We start from the raw sequence: 23,033 nt of genomic DNA on the forward strand, positions 1-23,033 counted from the left end.
TATGCAATGAGGATTTTAGGTTTGGGGTTATATACACACACTTAAAAAGACTGTATTATTATTTAGTCAAGGTATACATTTTTCCCCTGGTAATCTATCTATTAGAATATTCTTGACCAGGTACAGTGGCTCACGCCTGTAATCCCAGCACTTTGAGAGGCCGGGGTGGGCGGCACAAGGTCAGGAGATTGAGACCATCCTGGCCAACATGGTGAAACTCCATCTCTGCTAAAATACAAAAAATTAGCCAGGAGTGGTGGTGCATGCCTGTAGTCCCAGCTACTTGGGAGGATGAGGCAGGGGAATCGCTTGAACCCGGGAGGCAGAGATTGTAGTGAGCCAAGATCGTGCCACTGCAGTCCAGCCTGGTGACAGAGTGAGACTCCATCTCAAAAAAAAAAAAAAAAAAAAAAAAAAAAAAAAAAAAAAAAAAAAATCTGCAGAATGTGCCAGAAAAGAAAGTTGAAAATTTATGAAAGCAAGAGTTATATGTCATCTACAAATATAGAGCCAGCTTCCAGGATGTCACATCAAAACATTACCTCTAAATATTTCATTGTTGTTTAAGGATTTTGCCAGGCAACTCCTATTTGCTTTAACGAACGTGACTTCCAATTCACCAACTGTGGAAAAGTCAGAGCTAGACAGTGTGAAATGCTACATTGATTAAACAGAATGCCAGTCAAGGCTATGATTCTTTTTCTACATACTTTATGATGTTATTTTGTCTAGTCTTTTATTTCCTTGTGGTCCTCAGCTACATTGATTGCCAAACGGCTTTAATCAGTTATCTCCTTCATTCAAAACTCTGTGTCCAAACAAGTTTGAAAGGAAGCAGAGTGTCCATTTTTTTCTCTTTCAGAATGTGAAGGTACCATTATGGTATAAAGAAAGTAAACTGTGCTTCTTAAATTGCGCATCATGTGTCTTGATTAAAATATATACCGAGATCTTTGTAACCTCCCCACCCACCACCTCAGAGCCCAGTAATGAAAACTTAGCCAATTACAACACACAGAGCATTTTTAATTAGAGAGCCTTATATATTGCAGAAGTAAATTTAGGTTTCCTATACCGTTTATATTCTCCTTGTTCTTAGATAAAGCAAGACAGCTAAATATATTTTTTTAGTTCCAATATGGGAAAAGTTTGGGGATAACAATATTAGCCTTAGGGCTATACATAGTCTTGATTTTAAAAAACTATATCTTGAATATAACTTAAGTCAAATAAATTCTTCAATTTGGAAAATATATTAAGAATCTCCCTTTTTAAATTAAATATGGTAATTACTACTAAGATTAAATACTTCATATTTTTGTGAGTAGAGTACCTACAATTATAGAAACATTATGATTCTAATTCTGGTTATAATTTAACAGGAAGTCATCATCCAATATTATCAATTTAATGTCTTTTATGCATAATAGTTTCTGAAACAGTTTCCATCATTTTAGCAATGGTGTTATATTGGTACCACATTTCTAATTCACTAAGCAAATAACCTATATGGCTTCTTTTTTCACATTTTTAAATGAAATACTTAGGTTAGATGCTCTCTGATGTCCATTTCAGCCCTAAAATTTTATGATTTTGTGTTCTGTGAGATAAGCCATCTTGTCTTTTGTATGATCCTACCTGCTAACTCATATGTAGCCCTTTCCCTCATTTCCAATAGAAAACATCAAACTTATTTTATAGATGGGATAGTTTTTTTTCAAATCTAGTGAAATGAAGAAGGAATCAACTGAAATTTAAGCAGAAGAGAATAACATTTAAAATAAACTTCTAACTTAGAAGAAATTTGAATCTTCTTCTCTGATATTTTGCTCCTAGAATGATGTAGTTGTGGTTATTTCTAGAACACAAGTGTCCATATTATATTATATCTCATGGTCTGACCCAAGCAGTCATGTGGAATATAATGATTCCAGTGAAGTGATGCCATGAAATACATAAGGCAACTGTTCTTTAACACTTTCATTGATATAAATACTATGCTCCTCCATTTGGGCATTCTGTCTAAGACACCATAAGAGGATAGAATCAAGTTATAAGAAGAAGAATATATAGTTTTTCTTCTATAGTGATATAGAAGATATAGTTTAGATAGTGATATAGAAGATATAGTGATATAGTTTGGCTCTGTGTCCCCACCCAAATCTCATCTCAAATTGGAATCCCCACATATCAAGGGAGGGACCTGGCAGGAGGTGATGGGATCATGGGGGCAGTTTCCCTCATGCTGTTCTTATGATATTGAGGGAGGTCTCATGAAATCTGATGATTTAAACATGGCAGTTTCCCCTGCTCTCTCTCTCTCTCTCCTGCTGCCATGTATAACATACCTTGCTTCCCTTTCACCCTCTGTCATGATTGTAAGTTTCCTGAGGCCTCCCCAGCCATGAAAAACTGTGAGTCAATTAAACCTCTTTCCTTTGTAAATTTCCCAGCCTCAGGTCCTTCTTTATGGCAGTGTGAAAATGGACAAGTACATAAAAATTGGCAATGGGAGGAGGGCACTGCTATAAAGATAACCTGCAGATGTGGATGCAACTTTGGAATTGGGTAATGGGCAGAGGTTGGAACAGTTTGGTGGGCTCAGAAGAAGATAAGAAGATGTGGGAAAGTTTGGAACTTCCTAGAGACTTTTTCAATGGTTTTGATCAAAATGCTGATAGTGATATGGACAATAAAGTCCAGGCTGAGGTTGTCTCAGATGGAAATGAGGAACTTACTGGGAACTAAACTCTGTGCAGCCTTGATACTTAGTGCCCTGTATCCCAGCCACTCCCAGCTCCAGCTGTGGCTAAAAGGGGCCAAGGTACAACTTGGCCTATTGCTTCAGAGGGTGCAAGCCTCAAGCCTTGGTGGCTTCCACTTGGTGTTGGGCCTGTGGGTGTGCAGAAGACAAGAGTTGAGCTTTGGAAGCCTCCACCTAGATGTCAGAGGATGTATGAAAATGCCTGAATGTCCAGGCAGAAGTCTGCTGCAGGGGTGGAGCCCTCATGAAGAACCTCTACTAGGACAATGCAGAGGGGAAATGTGGGGTTGGAGCCCCCACACAGAGTCCCCACTGGGGCATTGCCTAGTGAATCTGTGAGAAGAGGGCCACCATACTCCAGAAACCAGAATGGTAGATCCACCAACAGCTTGCACTGTGTGCCTGGAAATGCTGCAGGCACTTAATACCACCCTATGAAAGTAGCCACAGGGTCTGTACCCTGCAGAGCCATAGGGGCAGAGCTTCCCAAGGCCTTGGGAGCCCACCCCTTGCATCAGCATGCCCTGGATGTGAGACATGGAGTCAAAGGAGATTATTTTGGAGCTTTAAGGTTTTTTTTAAATTTTTTAATTTTTCTTTTAAGTCAGAAGTGGGACTTGAAGAAGCTTTAAGATTTAATGAGTGCCCTGCCAAGTTTTGAACTTGCACAGGGCCTGTGGACCCTTTGTTTTGGCCAATTTCTCCCATTTGGAATGGGAACATTTACCCAATGCCTATAGCCCCATTGTATCTTGGACGTAACTAACTTGTTTTTTATTTTACCAGGCTCATAGGCAGAAGGGATTTGCCCTGTCTTAGATGAGACTTTGGACTTGCACTTTTGAGTTAATGCTGGAATGAGTGGAGACTTTGGGGGACTGTTGGGAAGGAACGATTGGTTTTGAAATGTAAAAAGACATGAGATTTGAGAGGGGTCATGGGTGGAATGGTATGGTATGGCTCTGTGTCCCCAACCAAGTCTCATCTCAAATTGTAATCCCCATGTGTTGAGGGAGGCACCTCGTAGGAAGTGATTGGATCATGGGGGCAGTTCCCCGCACTGCTGTTCTTGTGATAGTGAGGGAAGTCTCATGAGATCTGATGGTTTAAAAGTGGCAGTTTCCCCTGTACTCACTCTCTCTCCTGCCACCATGTAAGACGTGCCTTGCCTTCCCCTTCACCTTCCACCATGATTATAAGTTTCCTGAGGCCTCCCTGGCCATGTGGAACTGAGTCTACTAAACCTCTTCCTTTGTAAATTACCCAGTCTCAGGTCATTCTTCATAGCAGTGTGAAAATTGACTAATAAAAATAGCTAAGCTAAAAATGTGCCAGGCACTATTCTGAAATTCTGATAATGGTTCTTACCTCAGTACTCATGTCATTCCCATGGAAAGGAAAGGAAAGTGGAAAAGTGTGATGCAGGTAAAAGCATCTGCACCCTCTAGCATTGTGATAGGAAGATCTTTCTTTAGAGACTGATTTTTACTTAGTTCATTCATTCATTTTATTTATAGCACTAACTGGTGGAGCTGCCCTCTGATTCCTCACTGGTCACTTCCTAGCTCACCCCCCTACACTAGTCCTCCCAGGAAAATTGAGCTGCACAAAGCCAGTGCCTGAGGTTCTTACTGCATCACCTTTCCCTCTGTGCAGATTGTCTGTGACATTCTGATGTGCATTTTGCATAATTACCCTTTGCAGTTTCCTAGCGAGAGGTCCCATATGAAGTGAAAGTAGAAACTGATTTTCTCCTTGGATTTCTGTGCTCCAGGGGAACTTCACCTTGAGCCATTTTTAAATTAGGCAACCTTATTCTAGGAGTTTCCAAAATTCTCCTTTTTGGTGTGACTGACATTATTCAGGGCCCTCAGAGTGGACCGCAGCGCTTAACACATAGACTTCGGCAAAGATTCCCTGCTGACTCCATTGACCCATTCAAGACCTAGCAATTTCCTTGCCAGCCAGGTTCTTTCTAAGTGGACAGCCACTCATACCCAAGAGGAGGTTTGCATGGAAGGCACTGTCCCCCAGGGATTAGTATCAAGCTATCATAGCACAATATTTTTTGCAATCTAGATGAATTGAATCAAGACCAAAAGAAAAGCCTTTTTCCTAATTCTTTAGATTATTTATGACCTCCTTCCTCATCACCACCCCCAATTCTTATCCTTTAATTCTGAAACTGACTTAAATAACAGATTGTCTGTCATAAGCATTTCCATAAGGTTAAGATGAAGTATTTAACAAGTATTTCATTAGAGTGAATAAAAAAGGAAGACTGAGAGATTCCAGTAAAAGTTTGTTACATAATTTTAAATGGTTTAGAATAACGTCACAATATCCCGCTTAAAAAAAGATCAGTCCTTTGTGGAAGATGTTATTAGTGAAGTCCTTGAAACAAGTGTTGGAAAATGGCCTTTTCATTACTTCAGAGGCAATATTAAAGGGCCATGAAACTCAGAGCTCCTGGTTTTATCACAGACATTTTTATGTCAGGATTTAAACATTTTCCTACTCGACATTCCTCTAACAACTGTAGTTTTATAGGAAAGAATTGTTATAATTGGCCTGGATCATAGTATGATTATTAAATGATAGGCATCAATTAAACTTATATTTAAATTGAAGATATTCACAGCAGATAAGAGGAAAGTGTGATTATCATTAAATGCATAAAATGTATAATCGGCTTTGGGAGTGCACTTTAAACCTATTAAGAGGATAAAATGTGATTATTTGTTGGAATATAAACTGTCACAAAAATTCTTCTGCCTATTTTCCCCCTGCTCACTGTCACTAAGCAGAAATAAGATGTTTTATACATGTTTTCCTTAATTTTAATATGATTATGGGGGTGCTTTATGTAGATTATCATGTTGAGGCTGTTAGCATTTAGCAATAAGAAAAAACACAGAGAGGAAGAATGCTGGAGACAGTAACACAGAATTGCGCCTGTGAACCAGAGTTGCTAACACACTTGGGTTCCCCAGAGTTAACCATTTCATTTCCAGAATTTTGCCATGCAATATTTTTATAACGTTGATGTGAATGCAATAATGTAACAACCATGAGCTGATTAAGCACTTAGGAGCTCAGCAATTTTGTGTATTCATTGCTTTTAAGTTTAAAGTATTATTTGTTTACCTGCTGGGGATCAGAAGGACTCAAAGAAAAAAAAAAGATTTACAGATTTTAATACCAATACTTGCTTAAAGCAAACAAATAAAAAATTCGCTAAATCCACCAAATGATTATCTCATCACATTCATACATTTTTCACTTGAAAATAGAAAAGTTCTTCATTGATGTTCCGTGTCTTTACATCCACACCTAAAATATGAGCAAATGACTTTTTTTTCTATTTCTCTAATATATTCCTTGGTGGCCATCCCAGGCATTGATAAGTGTTTCTTGGGGTTGACCCAACTTAGGCTACTGGGTAGCGAGCCTGAGTCAATGATCAAGGCAGTCTCCCACTTCTTGCCATAGTGACTGCCCAGAGGTGATTGTGTGATGTAATTTTATTTAATTAGAGTGAAACTCTGAATTCTTGTTCAATGTTAAAGAGAGAAATGTTACCCATACCCCTCTAATCACACCACACGTGTTCTGGAGAGAGGTGTGTATTTTGGGTTCTAGCTGCAGCAATTTGATGATTCCAAGAGAAGCCCAGCTTGAAGATGAGGCTGATCCATAAAGAATGAAGGAGAAGAGAGAAATGTAGGGGAATGGAAGAACTGGACCTCTAGCTGAAGTGCACCCACCTCCCCAACATTTTAGTTTCAGTTACATGAGCCATTTAAGGTCCTTCATGACTTAGCTTGATTGTAGTGGTGTTGTATTACTTATAAACAAAAGCCTCCTACCAGATACAGAATTTGGTACTAACAGGAATGGTGTTTTGCACACAACATATCCTAAAATGTTGAAATAAACTGCATCTAGGTCAGCAGAGCGATAGGGAAAAATCCTCTATGGTCAGAATTTGGTAAATCTTTTTATAAAATCACAAAATAATTGGCTAATTATGATTTCCTGTTGTACCTTACAAGAAAGTTCAAGTGCCAACAAGATTGTAGCATTTGGTGATTTCACAGGAAAATAAATATAGCTTTCACTAAAGTCCTTCAACAGAAAGACAAATTTGGTCTGAAACTAACCAAACAAAGAAAAGAAGAAAGACAATATAGCTTTTCTGAGACAGACACTCTCAACAAATGGTTTTTCTTCCTAAATGGGTAAAAGCTGGGTTATCTGTAGACAGACAGGTTGAAAAAAATCATATTCTCTGCCCCAAGGTAAGGTAAATTGGAACAAAAGCAGGGAGGTAGGAGCCATCACAGGAGATAAAGCTGATATCTGGGAAGAACCTAATCCTTCGTTCTTTCCCAGCAACTAAAATCCCTAAAGACTCCCCAAGACAAAAGTTTGGCTATTGTTCACCCCTAGGGCAATCTCCAAGCTCTTATAATCACATATATTGACCCCCAGGGTGATGAAGACCCAGAAAGAAAGTTCTACCCCATGTCCATCTTTGATGTAACCCTGCACTACAAAGGATAAAGAAGATCCTCCCAGAGAGTAGGACTAAGGTCTACAAGACTGGCCAGCTAAATCATTCACTCCTCCTGCAAAACAAGGATCACTCCATGTTTCTGTCCAGCAGGATATGAAATGCGCTATGGACCAATGGGCACTCTGTGTTGCTTCTTATTGTTTTTTAAAATGGAAATTTGTATTGTAGCTTGTCATTCTCTCTCCACCATTGTATGTATGTTGAAGAGTGTAAATGATGGGTAATGTACCATTTATTGACTTGTTATTGGCCATTAGGAGTTATGTCAGAATTTGATTAAGAAAGAATTTCACTCAGAAATCCTGCGCTTGAGATAACTGTAAGATGATTTGGTTGTCTCCCGTTAGAGAGTGGTTCTCAACTTGGATTGCACAACTGAACCACCTGGGAAATTTAAAAAATTTCTATGGCCAGGCTGCATCCCAGGTTAATTAAATAAGAATCCCTGGGAGCTGAGCTCAGGCATCAGGTGATCCCAGCATGCAGCCTAGTGGTGAACCACAGCTTTCATTTAGAGGTTGAGATTTGGGGAGCTTGATACAGGGAGGAGGATATGGATGGAAATTGATTAGCAAAAGATTGCAGTCATCTTTTTTCTCATTCCTCAAATCATTTCACCTCTCTCCCTTTGGGTACACTCTTCATTGGCTCCATCCTAGCTTCTGTCAGTCATAGGAATACACATACCTTGCCACAGGTATTGATTCAGAAGAGGGTATTTGACCTAATATATTCCAATTAAAGTAAAACTTTGAATTTTTTTAGCAGCTGGGAAAGAAAATATGAAAAAAGATATATAATGCTGATTGTCACTAGACACAATATTCGGAGGAGAACAGACCCTGCAGGACAGCAGAGAAAGGGTGCTAGAGCCCAGAATATACCATGTCTGAAACCTACCCTATCTCTGAATGGAGCCAGCCAGCTCCTTTTCTTGACTAGAACAGTTTGAAGTAGGTTTTCTCTTACATGTATCTGAAAGCATTCTAACTCATAGGCCCTGCAGTGCACATGGTCAAATCTCTGCTCAGATACCTAGATTCCTTTTTCTATTTTTGTTCCTCATTCCTTATACCCATTTTGCTTCCAGTGGGCTGTACCCATGACACTCCTCAGGGACCTGCTTGTTTGCTCAAAGAGCCAGAAGTGCCTTGAATTTACATTCTCCCCAGGGCAGGCCTTAGCTAACCACCTTCTGGTACATGAGTATGAAGCCCTGCTTCCCTGCCAAGTGAGACAAATCCTGAGCCACATTTTACACCATAGAGCTCACCTGTGAGATCTGCACCTTGGGTTGGCTTCTTCCATTCCTTATTCAACGTCTCAGACTTGCTTCTCAGTTTCTCCTGGGAGCACTTTCTTAACAAATGACTTGAGTTCAGATTCTCAAACTAAGGCACATGCTAATCCCCACTGGGTGCTGAGTCCTATTTAAAGCACGTGGTGTTGGACTAATAAATGTAACTGAGCAACTCAGCAGCCAATCATCATTTCTGAAAACTTTGACTCATGAAGTGTCTCTGTATTAGCCTGTTCTCACGCTGCTAATAAAGACACACCCGAGACTGGCTAATTTATAAAGGAAAGAGGTTTAATTGACTCGCAGTTCCACATGGCTGAGGAGGCCTCACAATCACGGCAGAAGGCAAAGGAAGAGCAAAATCACATCTTACATGGTGACAGGCAGAAAGAGCTTGTGTAAGGGAACTCCCCTTTATAAGACCATCAGTTCTCGTGAGACTTATTCACTATCACGAGAACAGCACGGGAAATACTTGGCCCCATGATTCAATTACCTCCCACCAGGTCCCTCTCATGACACGTGGAAATCACAGGAGCTACAATTCAAGAAGAGATTTGGGTGGGGACAGAGTCAAACCATATCAGTCTCTTATTTTATATTTTCAGTGCAATACCAAAACATAAGACACATGGTCGAATCTAATTTTTTAGAGCTAAGGTCCAGAAAGATCATCTGGCAAACCAGTCATGTTACATGTAAAGAAACGGAAGTCTAGTGAAACTACATAACTTACTCCAATCTCCTTGGCTGCTTAATGGCAAGGCCAGGGTTTGAAATCAGTGCTTTTTTGTGTGCCTTAGGCCACCTACCTAGTGCTGTGCCCAACTGTGGATTCCAAACACCTTAGTCAAATCACACTTTATTTACAGACAAATTATTTGCCTTTGTTGTATACAGAAGCACGTACTAATAGCTGAATTATTAATGCTAAATATTGTCTATATGAATGTAAGAAATGTAAATCAATGTTCTGAAACATATGAACCATGGCATTAGCGAATTTCTGAACCAAAGAGTAGCATAAGACAGGAGAAAATGTGATTCAAGAAGATAAAGGGCATAAACTGTATTCTTAATTTATTCTGGACACATAGCAGGTAGTCACTGAACGTTTGTTGAACGAAGTATAGTGAGTTCCACAAGGGCATATGGAAGGGAGTTTTCTGGTGTCAACAGTGGAGAAGAGGTAGATGCACTTGAATTAAACTGAAACAGAGAAAATGGGCCTGTGTGAAAGAGACGAAAGAGCTGAGCGCTTACCCTGGGGTGGGTGTGTGTGGGTGTGTGTGTGTGTGTGTGTGTGATGTTATAGCCTTATGTTTTTCTATCACTCTAACAAGGCCTCTAACAAGGTCTTATATAAATGTCTGAGCTAGGTCACAAGTTATTAAGGAAGGGACTGCCTAGCTCTTCTGAGTTAGCATTTTGATTATAAAGCCTCACGCCCTGGAAGTCAGCAGAAAGATGTCAAGTGTGATTAAGGAGAGATGGTCATGGCACTGGTGAATTGTGGATATAACAATTGGGACCATGGTCCACACCACGCTTGGTCTTCACTACATGGAGATGATCTCTCCACTGTCCTGTTGGAGGCCTTCAACTGTATTTTGTTAATACAGTTACTGATTTTTCTTACACAATCCAGAAGGATTTTTTATTTAAAATAAATATGAACAATGACTAACAATGACTTAGATACTCCAGGAGTTTAGTATATAAATTTAGAGTGTACTTTACAGTAATCTCAACAACTTTGTCAATCTAGTTAATATCTGCATGGATATGGTTTCTATCCTGTCTCCAGAAAAGATTATCTAAAGCATATCTTTTAATGGAGGATAACCTGGGGGAAATTCTTTTCTAAAAAGAAAGGGAGGAAAAAAATATTTCCACACATCCATGGAGTATTAAAAATTAAACAGATATGAACTGTAAATAAAATTCCAGCAACGTCAATGTTTAAAAACCCTTTTAATCTCTTAAAGCTGGGAGACTAAGAAGATAAAATGCCCAGATGACAGAATTAAATTCTCTTTATAGGCCAGCCCCCATATGAAAAGAAAAAAAAATGTCAAGAGGAATCAGGGGAGTTTGCCATTAAATTAAGCTTTGTTAAATCACTTATTATGTTCCAGGTACCCTTTTACCTGCTTTCAACCTTATCTCATTTAATCTTCAAAACTGCCTCTTAAACAGTATCTGATATGTGAAGAAAACAGTTACCCAGTAAGGTAAAATAACTTCCATAAGGGAGCAACAATGGGTTTAAACCCACGTTAGTCAAGTCCAAAGGAACAAGAAAAATGAATGAAGTAAGCTAATGAATTAATAATGAAAGATTTTTTAAACCTTTTTATAAAGTTTATCAATATTTGGAAAAAAAATAAATCTAACATTTGGATTTTGTTTTATCCTTAGAAGTGAAGGTGGTACCTTGAAAACTAAGTGATACATGATCATTCAAGCTGAAAGTGTCGATGGTTTGCTGTAGGATTAAACATCACGTGGTGTTAGGTGTTCCTAGGCCGATGGATACACCCAAGGATGAAAGATGGTTAGGAGCCTGGACCAAGTCCTATTATTCATGGAATTTGTTCTGCAAATTAAAAAAAATGACCCCTTGAAAGTTGACTAAAGTGAAATTCTATGTTTGAACTCTGCTTTTCCATTGACTCTCATGTGAAAGCAAATTATATATTCAGTTAATCCATAAATATTTGTTAACTTGTTTATTCAAGGTACAATTTCCATCAGGTTTTCCAAAAACAAAGACTAAGGAAAAACAATGATGAAACCAGTAACCTGAAGAAATGATCTGTCCTAATTTAATGACAGAAATCGTTTTAGCTTCATTTCCAACTCTCTCGTTCTTCTTTCTAATACTGCACACACTCAAACCTGAAAGCACCATATCCACTCCCACTCTCCACCTCAAACAACTTATATTTATCTAAGCAGGGCCTGTTGACCACTAGAGGAAAGTATGAGAAATTCAAGATGCTAAGATTACTTGTTAACATTTAGTACTTAACCTGTGCCAGGAAACGACCTGAAGTTTTAAGATGTATCTACTCATTACATTCTAATGAACAACCCTGGAAGTGGGTAGTTCCATTACCTGTAATCTGTCTATGAAGAAACTAAGCCACTATGGTGTTCAAGTCACACTCTCAGGAGAACGGGGATATTCTTTATGAGACAAGAGGCAATGAAGATAGGTGGAGTAAATGTAGATACAGATGAATTTTTAGATGAAATGGAGAACAATTGAAAGAAATTGTCTTTATCCTTTCTGCAAAATAGGAGGTAATATAAGGAAAACTAAGACTAACGTTACTATCCTTAGGCACTCTGATGTCAAACATTTTGCATATAACTTTTACCTACTCCTTACTACAGCCCTTCCAGAAAGATATTCAGTTGCTTAGTAAAAGTCTGCAAATTCAACATTGTTTTCCACCAAATCTTGGTTCTTACCCCTCTGATATCTTACTATTCAATTCTCTAGTTGGTAGGAATGATCTTGGGAAATTATGAAGACCAGGGAAGGTTTGGAACAGTCACTGTAGGGAATGAAACTCACAGCCAGTGAGAAGTGAGCGAAGAATTGCCCCCAAAAGGTCTATGCATCAGATCTTAGGATTTGAGGTCACAAAGTGTGATATTAACATGGAACCTCTCTGGATGATTGAAGGATTCCCCATAGAAGGCAGTGCTCAAAGGATGAAGTTGAAACTGGGAGATAAACAGAATGTTTCAAATCACGCTTTTGACGTTGATGTACGCAAATACCTAGAGTAGGAGGCAAAAATCATATATGATACCTGCCATGAGAGAGGAACGGAGAGGGCCATACTTCCTTCACTCTAATTCTAAAGTCTCGTATTTTAATGCCTCACATTTGGGATGTGTCTTTAAATGGGTGGCATCTTTTTCCACTGATGGCGAGGTAGTCTTCAAAATGTAGTTGTGATTGCATATTCTAGAAATTGGCCTTGACCCGATCGTCCTCTCTGCATGACTTATGCTCACTGTGGATATCGTGAGTTATAGTGCCATTTAAAATATCTTCTAAGAAAAGTACTGTATGGTTTCTCATTGAAAAAAGTTATTACATACATAAAGGAATGGAAATAGTGCTGCAAGGCATGTATGATATGTTAATAGAGGAAATATTTGTATCAATGAAGTAAATGTGATCACAAGTCCATATGTTTTTGTGAAGCAGCAACCCAAGTGTTTTGCATAACCTGTGCCAACAAATAGATGCAGCCAGTTATGTCTGTTCCTGAGACAACTGGAAAGGATTGCCTAGCACAGATCAAACAGTGCACCTAAAGGGAGGAGAAATTGCCAAATTCCTGGAAATAGGTGTATTCCAGTTACCTCTTGCTACACAACAAATTACTCCAAAACAATCCTAATAATTTTATCATCTCTCACATTCTCCATGGGTCAGGCTAAGAAAGGGCTTGCCTGCAAAGTTCCAGCTTAATGTCTGTCATCCAGTTGCAGTTTGACGTGTCTGGAGATGGGACAGTGGGGGGGCTGAAGCAGCTGGAAGCAGGTCAGGCATCTTTCTGTCTTTCTGTAGCCACCAAGCCTCTTCCTGTGATCTCTCTGCATGGACTACTTTGGGCTTTGATATAACTTGGCAGACCCAGATTAGCTGAACTGTTTACATGGAAGCCAAAAGCTTCAAGAGCTAGAGCTGGTGACCCATGAGCAAGGTCGAAGCCAAATCTTTTATGACCCAGCTTCCAGTGTCACATAGAGTCACTTCTGCTGCATTCCGTTGGTTTCCAAGAGATTCAGAAGCCATCCAGATTCTGGAGGAGGGGAATTAACTTCACCTCTTGATTGGAAAGTAGCAAGTTTCTAGAACATATGGTCTAGGAGATGTTGTTGCAGCTGTATTTGGAAAATACAATCTGCCACTAGATGAAGGAAATGTCAAAGTGCCAGGAAGCTGGTGTTACCAGTTCATTCATTGTGCAGGACTTAACATTAAAGCACTGAAATTCCACTGAACTTCCTGCTGACTGAACAAAGCCATCTAACTTCCAGCCACGTGTGATTCAGTCAGGGAAAAAAAAATGAAATTACAAGGTTATGTTAATTAAACCTTGGTGCTCTTGAAGTATGTTGTCAATGCTAAAGGTATTAAAGAAGTCAAATTCATAATCACCAGTTGCACATCTTCCATGTCTAAATAATCCTAGAGCAGCTCATTCAGTAAGTTAGAATAGGAATTTCAAGTCATTAAAAAACAAAAATACCGTCATAGTTTAACTGGCAACATTTTCTCTTAATGGTGTGTGAAATAATGGTGTGTCTTACAATTTATGGCATTTCTAGCTTTGATGAAGTGCAGTAAGTGCCATGAAGGTGCAATGTCAGGAGAAATTTCCTTTTCCTGGCATGGTCAGGAAAGGACCCAGAGGAGAAATGGTTCTGGGAAGCTCTAGGCTTTGGAAGGTAGAAAACAGACTGCAGAGAGAAACAGGAAGTCAAGGAGCATGTTTGAAAAGCACTTTAAACGAAGCCCCGCCCCTTCCGCCCAGGCTTTGCCTGGCATCCTGTATGTGTATTTCCCACTCCAATCAGTCTTTCCCTTTTCCCTTGTGAAATTCCTGTCAGTCCTTCGTGACTCCTTGCAGGTCCTGCCCACTGCATATTGAGAAGATTTTTCGTGACTGCCACTGGAAGATAGGTGGAGTGGAGGTGGGAGGCAGTGTTAACTCTCAATCCAGACCCCTAGAGAGTGTTCTTGGATCTCACGCAGGAGGGCATTCAAGGTGAGTCACAAAGGGCAGTGAAAGAGGCAAGTTTATTAAAAACTGCTCTATGGAGTAGAATGCCCTCAGAAAGGAAGAAGAGGAATGCCTGGTAGTGGGAAGAGATAGTTTATTGAAAGTTACCGATTACAGAGTAGGGCATCCTGAGAAAACAAGCAGAGGAATGCACCATCTTTAAGTTTTTCTTATATAGGGGTCTTCTCTATGTAAAGACTAAACTAAGCTGTGACTATGTAAGAGTGAGAAGATGACATGACAAAATATATTATTCTACTGATTTAAAGAAAACTACCCTTGACATTTTATTTATTTATTTATTTATTTACTTATTTATTTATTTATTTGAGACGGTGTCTAGCCCTGTTACCCAGGCTGGAGTGCAGTGCTGCGATCTGGGCTCACTGCAACCTCTGCCTCCTGGGTTCAAGTAATTCTCATGCCTCAGCCTCCCGAGTAGCTGGGACTACAGAGGCACGCCACCACGCCCGGCTGATTTTTTTGTATTTTTAGTAGAGACGGGGTTTCACCATGTTGGCCAGGCTGGTCCTGAACTCCTGACCTCAGGTGATCCACCCGCCTCGGCCTCCCAAAGTGCGGGTATTACAGGCGCCAGCCACCGTGCCTGGCGCCAGTCTATCCTTGACATTTTAGTATGTGAGTATATCAAAACATAACTTGTTATCTTGAAAGCTTATTATCGTTATGGGTATTGGGACATCTGGATTCTCCATTATTGTGAGAGCATGTCCTTGTAGGTATCTTTAGGCTGCTTCCTCAACTATAAGCATCTTAGGACCATGGGTCGTGACTGGCAAGAAATGTACCTTGCTAGTTTGAAAATGAAGTTGATTTTAAAATGGCAGCAGTCTGGTTCCCCTAGGCTCCTGCTTTCCCTAACAGCGGCATGCAGCACAGAGCTCGGTTTGCCTGTTTTACCTATCAGAATTTTTGGTAAGGTTTCTAGTGATGAATGGGGTTCACAGCTTAGAAATGAAAATAAAAATGTAAATCATTGCAATATACCACACACTTCCGTGCTCAGTCATACAGCAGCCCATGAATTAGCCATCCCCCATCCATTTAATTAGTGCCTATTTACTAAGCATCTTCTAGGTGCCCCATTAATTAGCCAACCTCCGTTCATCTGATTAATGCCTATTTACTGAGCATCTTCTAGGTGTCTGGTACTGTGTGAGCCAATGGCTACTTCTGGTATATTTTGTTTCATGAAACTTCTGAGTTGGAGAGAAAGAAATTAAGTAAGTTTTGCAATGACCAAATTAGAAATTGATGAAAGAGTAAGGATGTTATAAGAACGACAGGGATGAAATGATTTTTACAGGGGCATTTTAACCACTTTAAATCTAAATCAATTATGTTTGATTATGCCATATTTTCTTAACCTCTATAAGCTGAATTTTATTCGATATCTTTATAACTAAGTTTTCCTCAGCATTAAATATGTGTTTTGATTCCCTCAGCAGTTACTGAAGAGAATGGTACTTAATTACTGAGAAATACTTCACATGCATTTTCTCATTAATTCTCACAACTTTATGAAGTAAGTACTGTTAGCATACTCCTTTTTAATAGATACCAACTGAGATACAGAGAAAATGAGAACATTGCTCAACCAAAGTTATACTGTAGGCAGCCGAACTTGAGCACATTTGCTTTACCATATGAGCTATTTTATGACCATTATAAAGGCCGTAGGATTCACTCATACTTCGTAGTTAAAGCTTATGTATGTTTTTTAAAGTTTTGTTGTTTCCTCTTTTATGTTTTTAGTCACCCTTCTTGAGCTACAATTTAACACCATCCATTGTATCCCTTTAGAGTGTACAGTTTGATCATTTTGACAGTTGTATACATTCATGATATCACCATGCAGACAAGATATCAAACTTCCCAGCATCTCCAGAAGTTTCTTCATGTGCCTTCTCAGTTCGTTCCTCATCTCTCTAAGATTTTAGCGACCACTGAGAGAGAGAAAGAGACACACAGAGAGAGAAACAGAGACAGAGACAGAGGGGGACAAAGACAGAGACAGGCAGGAACAGAAAGAATGAATCCCTTTTGTGCTTTTTGTACCTGGCTTCTTTCTCTCACATCATGCTTTTGAGATTCACCCTGCTGTGGCATGTGTCAGTAATATCAATGTAATGTTTTGTTGCTGAATAGAATTGTATGTGTCTATCACAAGTTATTTATCAATTTACCAGTTGGATATTTGGGTTATTTTCAGTTTTGGGGCTATTGTGAATGAAATTGCTGTGAATATTTGTGTACATGTCTTTTTGTGGACATACATACATATCTACACCAACACTTGGTATGATTGGCCTTTTTAAAAATTCCAGCTATTTTAAGGATGTACATTAGTATATTATTATGATTTTAATTTGTACTTCCTTGATGATTAATGATATTAAGCATATTTTCTTGTGCTTATTGGCCATGTGTATATCTTTTATTTAAAAATAAATGTTTGTTCAAATTTTTTTTTAGAAGGAGTCTTGCTCTGCTGCCTAGGCTGGAGTGCAGTGGCACAATCTCAGCTCACTACAACCTCCACCTCCTGAGTTCCAGGGATTCCCCTGACTGAGCTTCCTGAGCAGCTGGGATTACAGGCACCTGCCACCATGCCCGGCTAATTTTTTTTTTCTTTTAGTAGAGACGGAGTTTCATCAGGTTGGTCAGGCTGGTCTTGAACTCCTGACCTCAAGTCACTCAGGAGTCGAGGCCTCCTACCTCAGCCTCCCAAAGTGAGCCACCACACCCAGCCTGTTGTTGTATGTTCTTATTCATGCATTCTCCAATGCATATGTATGTCTATTTGTATGTAATACACACATATCATTGAAATTGCATTTTTTATTTATAATTTTTAAAAATAGAAATTGAAAATAATGAAATAAATCTAAACTTTTAATATTTTCCTCTTCATGAATCATTCTATGATTTCATACTCAGAGATACAATCCAGGATTCTTAAATTTAAATTATATTCTGGAATTAAGCCCTCACGTGTGAGTGTTACAGTAGTGAAATTTCATGCATTAGATTTCAGAACAATCAGTAGAGGAACTGTGTTTATTAATAATTAGACTTATATTTAGAAACCGTATGTCATAATAATAAATAAAAATTTCTTTTGTAATGACACAATGAATTAACAGTAAAACTGTCCTTTAAAAATTTCGAACATCACATACTCAATTTTGGCCAATCTTTATTTGTTGCTTAAAAAATAAGCATTTCTACACTGCTTTACTCAAAACCACCACAGAGTTGTGAAAAGAATTGCTGTGCATTTCTCATGAAAATGTTTGGATACCCCACCACGCACATCTGTACAATTCTCATATTTATAATCATTCATATTCAGAATAGTATGTGCCTTCTAAGTATGCCAGTGAAAAATAAAATGATTACTTTTCCTCAAACGTTCAGCAGGCAGTCTAAATTAGCCAGCTGGTCTCTTGTCATGGCTGGAAATATATAGCTTTTTATAAAAAGTGACAGTAAATATGTCTATGGCCCAGTTACTTTATATGCAAGTGGAAATTCCATCAGTGCAATGACTTATGATTGGAGAAGAGCAAAAAAGTGTATAAAGAAAGAGAAGCAATGAGAATAGTGTTTCATGTGCCTTGCAGTGGCTCACAAAAAAATAACTCATTTTTAGGAAGTGAAATCACCTTGTTTTATGGCTAGGCAGTAATCTCAAGGTCCACTTGTTAAGTTTTTTTTTATTATTGAAGATTCAGAAGTCATTTAAAAACATGACCTGTTAGAACAATTCAATGCACCAAGTCTATTTGGAAAAATTGTGTGGTAAATCATGATTCATTATGCAATTGTGATCAGCACACAGTGTTATAAATTCATCTATCTTGACTGTATAGTCCTTTCCATGCAGTTTCTTTATACAGTCTATTAGTCCACACCCCACATTTATTTATTCTTCTTTGCTTGTTCTATTTTGTTATATTATTTTTCTGTGTTTTATGTTTTGCTCTATTTTAAACTATTTACTTTGTTTAAACTATTACTCTATCTGAAACTTTTTATTGGTCTGTCTTTTGTAATCTAACTTGTGTCACCAATACCATAAAATGTATGATAGGAACAAAATGCCATAATAAATAAAACTATCTGTATCTGCACCAATACTCTGGGCTTTGAGTCCCTCACAGATCATGAAGTAATAAACAAATGCATTGCCGGATACTGGAGTTGGGGAGATCTTCTACTCTAGTCCCCATGTTAAAGATGAGAAACTGAAATCCAGAGAGGCCAGGCAACCTGCTCAGATGACACTGCCAGAGAGTAACAGCCCCAAACTTGCCTTTTTCCCAGATTGGTGCATTCTCCCCTGTGCCTTAGTTTTCTTTGTGATTAAAGCAACTGAGTAATTCAAGGTAGTCATCATCTCCAAGGCTAAATTATTCGTGACAATTGTCTTTTTCCTTGAGAATTTATTCAACCATTATTCTATGAATATTGATTGAGCAACTACCATGTGCCAGGCACTGTTAAGGTTATGGCAGCAAACAAAGACAGAACTCTCTGCCTTCCTGGAGCTTGTGTTGCAGTGGAGTGAAACAGACAACAAACAGCACAAATGAGGGAAACGTATAGTGTGCAAGATGGCGATAAGTGCTTTGAAGAAAAATAAGGCAGAGAAAGGAAATAGGGAATACATTTATATTTTGTGTTGGAGAGGAAGGGTGGGAAAGGATGAGTAAAATTTTAAGTAGAAAAGCCGGAAAAGATGTCACAGAAAAGGTGACATTTCAGGAAAGACCTAAGAAGGTAGAGAGCCATGCAACCCATTTCCTTCATGACTGTGGGAGATCTTAGCTTCCTCCACAGGGAAGAAAGTCAAGATTTTTTTCAGACATTTTTTTCTTCATCTTCTACAAGTAGTCAACTCTATTAAATGAACATCCTAATGGGAAGAGTTTTTTCTTTTACCCAAAATATTTGCAGCGATCGGAAGGGTTTCTTTTATGTTGCATATCTAGACATCACTAATTATAGCAACTGTAATCCTGCCTATGAATAATGTAAGTGGATTTAGCTGGCATTTGATTGCTGGGCAGGGAGAACTGGGTTTCCGTCAGCTGGGCCTGGGCCTGCTTTTTTGTTTACTCTCTTCCCATCAATTACACTTAGTCTGCAGGGCTCAGGTGAATCACAGCTTGAAAGGTCTCTACCACTTTGAACCACTTTACACTGAGACCTGGAAAGCAGAGAACAGTAGAAAAGTCATTTGTGTAGTTGAAAAGGAAGCAGTTTTCTGACAATGCCCATATCTTTAAGGACTTTTGAAGAAACCACTTCTCAAAAGTGCTCAGGAAGTTTAACCATTAACTAACTTTTACTGTGGGTAGAGGAGAGTTAACTTTGTGATTTTCTCATGCTTTATATGATGTTAAAAGAAGAAAATTTTCTGTGATTTAAAAAAATAATCAGGAATCTCTGCATGTGTGCCTAGACAAGAATAAATGTGAGACTTGTCAGCCAAAAATACTTTTATGTATGGATGCATAAACTTTATATATAAGTATACATTGCCGTTAGAGGCTTATAGATTTCATTTATGTGTCTTAGTTACAAAAATTGTATTATTTCAAAGGGAAGAATGTCTCCATCAAATTCCTAATTCTGTCTTCATTTATTCTTCCATTCATTTACAAATATTTACTTCGTGTATATTGCATGTTAGGCTCTGTACTAGCAGAGTCTATACAATGAGTTCTAGAACTACCTTTTCTACAGTTTGTATATTTCCTTATTCCTTAAGATCAAACTCTTTGCTGGGCATGGTGGCTCATGCCTGTAATCCTAGCACTTTGGGAGGCCAAGGCGGGTGGATCACCTGAGGTCAGGAGTTTGACACCAGCCTGGCCAACGTGGCAAAACCCCATCTCTACCAAAAATACAAGAATTAGCCAGACGTGTTTGCGTGCACCTGTAATCCCAGCTACTCGGGAGGCTGAGGCAGGAGAATTGCTTGAACCCAGGGGGCGGAGGTTGCAGTGAACCGAGGTTGCGCCATTGCACTCCAGCCTGGGCAACAAGAGCGAAACTCCATCTCAAAAAAAAAAAATCAAAGTCTGGTATAATTAGATGATTAGATGCTCATCGGACAAATGCTTTTTCAAATGTTATGTTTATTAATACATTATAAAATATAATGAGTTATAAACTGTGCAGTACTATCAATTTCAGGTGGGAAAATGGTCAAGTTTAAATTGTTACTTTAAAGGACAGAAAATTGCTATACAATGTAAGTATACCTCATTTTGAAAGAACAAGCTATTTAGATAAACAGCAGGTCAATTAAGAGGACAGTGATATTAACAAGTGATAGAACGAGTTTCAAAATTTTCAGTTTTCTAAATAGACTCTTCATTATTTTATTACAATGTCAAAGAAGATATCAAATCTATTTTCAGCCAGGGTATGGATATTTGGAATATTCACAAATTTCAATGCTATGAGGACTTTTACTTCTGTAAAGATGGAGTACACATACTTTTTCATATCTCTTCTGCTAAATATAACTAAAAATTCTGGACATTATATATAAAACAAACAGAAGAAGACTCTGAAATGTGGACAGAAGAAGGCAAACCAGCTAGGGACCCTGGGACCCAAGGAATGACACAGCAGTGAGTGGCAATTTATCTTTTTCTCTTATATATCCTAAATGTATTGTTGAAGAAACCAATGTATGCAAACACATTAATCTGGAAATAGCAATGTGTGCAAGCACAAAGAGCCCTAACAAAAGCTTTGTCTCTCTAACCAAAGGACCAAGAAAGGGACAGAGACTTTTAGACAATAACTCTTCTGCTCTAGTCTTCGGCCCATCAGAGAATTCCTGCCTTGATAGTCTTTATGTCTCACCTAAGCCTTGATGGTGGGGTTGAGGTAGGAAAGCTGAGAAACACGTGTCAAAGTCACAGCCCACTAAAAGCCTGAGATTTAATAATAATATTATGACAAGCTTCTCTTTTCCCATATGTTAACATCACCCCGACAGGACTTCAGTATAATAATAGTGGATTCCAGCCAAATGATCTGTAAGACACAAAATAAATCAGAATATAACTGTTAGAACAGAAAGGAAATATGGACAAATCTACAGTTATAGTTGGAGACTTCAACACTGCTCTCCCAACAATCATTAGAACAACTAGAAAGAAAATCAGCAAGGTTATAGAAGGAATCAACAACACCATTAACCAACATGATTGAATCAATATTTATAGGACACTCCACCCAACAACAGAATAATCATTCTTTTCACGTGGCCTCAGAACATATACCAAAATAGATTATACCATGGGCCATAAAACAAACTTCAACAAACTTAGAAGAATTGAAACTATACACAATATTTTCTCTGACCGCAACAGAGTAAAACTAGAAGTCAGTAATGTAAAGGAAACAGGAAAGTTTTCAGACAGTTGGAACTAGACAATACACTTCTAAATAATCTATAGGTCAAAGAAGAAATGTCAAGGGAAATCATAAAAATACACTGAAATGAATTAATATGAAAAGATATCAAAATTTGTGGAACACAAAGCAAGGCTGAAAGACAAATTTCTAGCACTAGATATTACAAAGGAGGAAAAGTTTCAAATCTGCAAGAGGTCTTCAAAAAGTTTATAGAAAATGTGTATTATGAAAAACTATGCATGGATTTCAGAGTTTTTTGGCACCAACATAAACTCATCCTAACTTGTTGAAGCATATCTGAACAGGATCTAGTTTAAGGCACTAAGAATGATAAGACATCAGTTTGAAAAGAGGCCCTATCAGAGCAACATGAATTCTGCTAAAATTGAAGCAATAACAAACATCACACTTGTGATGAAGCTTGGGTGGAAGACTGGTGAAATCGCTGATTATTTACAAAAAGTTTATGGGGACAGTGCCCCAAAGAAACTGGCAGTTTACAAATGGATAACTTGTTTTAAGAAGGTATGAGATCATGTTGAAGATGAAGCCCACAGCAACAGACCATACACATCAGTTTGCAAGGAAAAAATTCATCTTGTTTGTGCCCTACTTGAAGAGGACTGACAACTAAGAGCAGAAACAATAACCAACACCATAGACATCTCAAATAGTTCAGCTTACACAATTTTGATTGAAAAATTAAAGTTGAGCAAGTTTTCCACTGTATAGGTGCCAAGACTGTTGCACCCAGCTCAGCTGCAGACAAGAGGAGAGCTTTCAATGGAAAATTTGAACAAATGGGATCAAGAGCCTGGAGTATTTCTTCGAAGAATTGTAGCAAAAGATGAAACATAACTTTACCAATACGATCCTTAAGACAAAGCACAATCAAAGCAATGCCTACCAAGAGGTGGAAGGGGGCAAGTCAAAGCAAAATGGACTGGTCAAGAGCAAAGGTCATGGCATCAGTTTTTTGGGATGCTCAAGGCATTTTGTTTGTTAACTTTCTGCAAGGCCAAAGAACAATAACATCTGATCATTATGAGAGTATTTTGAGAAAGTTAGCTAAAGCTTTAGCAGAAAAACACCTGGGAAAGCTTCGCC

The 23,033-nt window shown here is 38.5% G+C and overlaps 1 long non-coding RNA gene across 1 annotated transcript in view; it reads left to right on the top strand.

The window, feature by feature from the left end:
- LOC124901423 (uncharacterized) overlaps nt 1-18,620 on the top strand; it is a 39,155-nt gene extending 20,535 nt beyond the window's left edge. Inside the window, exon 2 of the long non-coding RNA XR_007059804.1 lies at nt 11,065-18,620. This is a non-coding gene — a long non-coding RNA (uncharacterized LOC124901423). The remainder of the gene's footprint in view (nt 1-11,064) is intronic.
- The last annotated feature ends 4,413 nt before the right edge of the window (nt 18,621-23,033 follow it).

Source organism: Homo sapiens, chromosome 6 (assembly GCF_000001405.40).
Source record: "Homo sapiens chromosome 6, GRCh38.p14 Primary Assembly".
NCBI classification, from domain to species: Eukaryota; Metazoa; Chordata; class Mammalia; order Primates; family Hominidae; genus Homo; species Homo sapiens.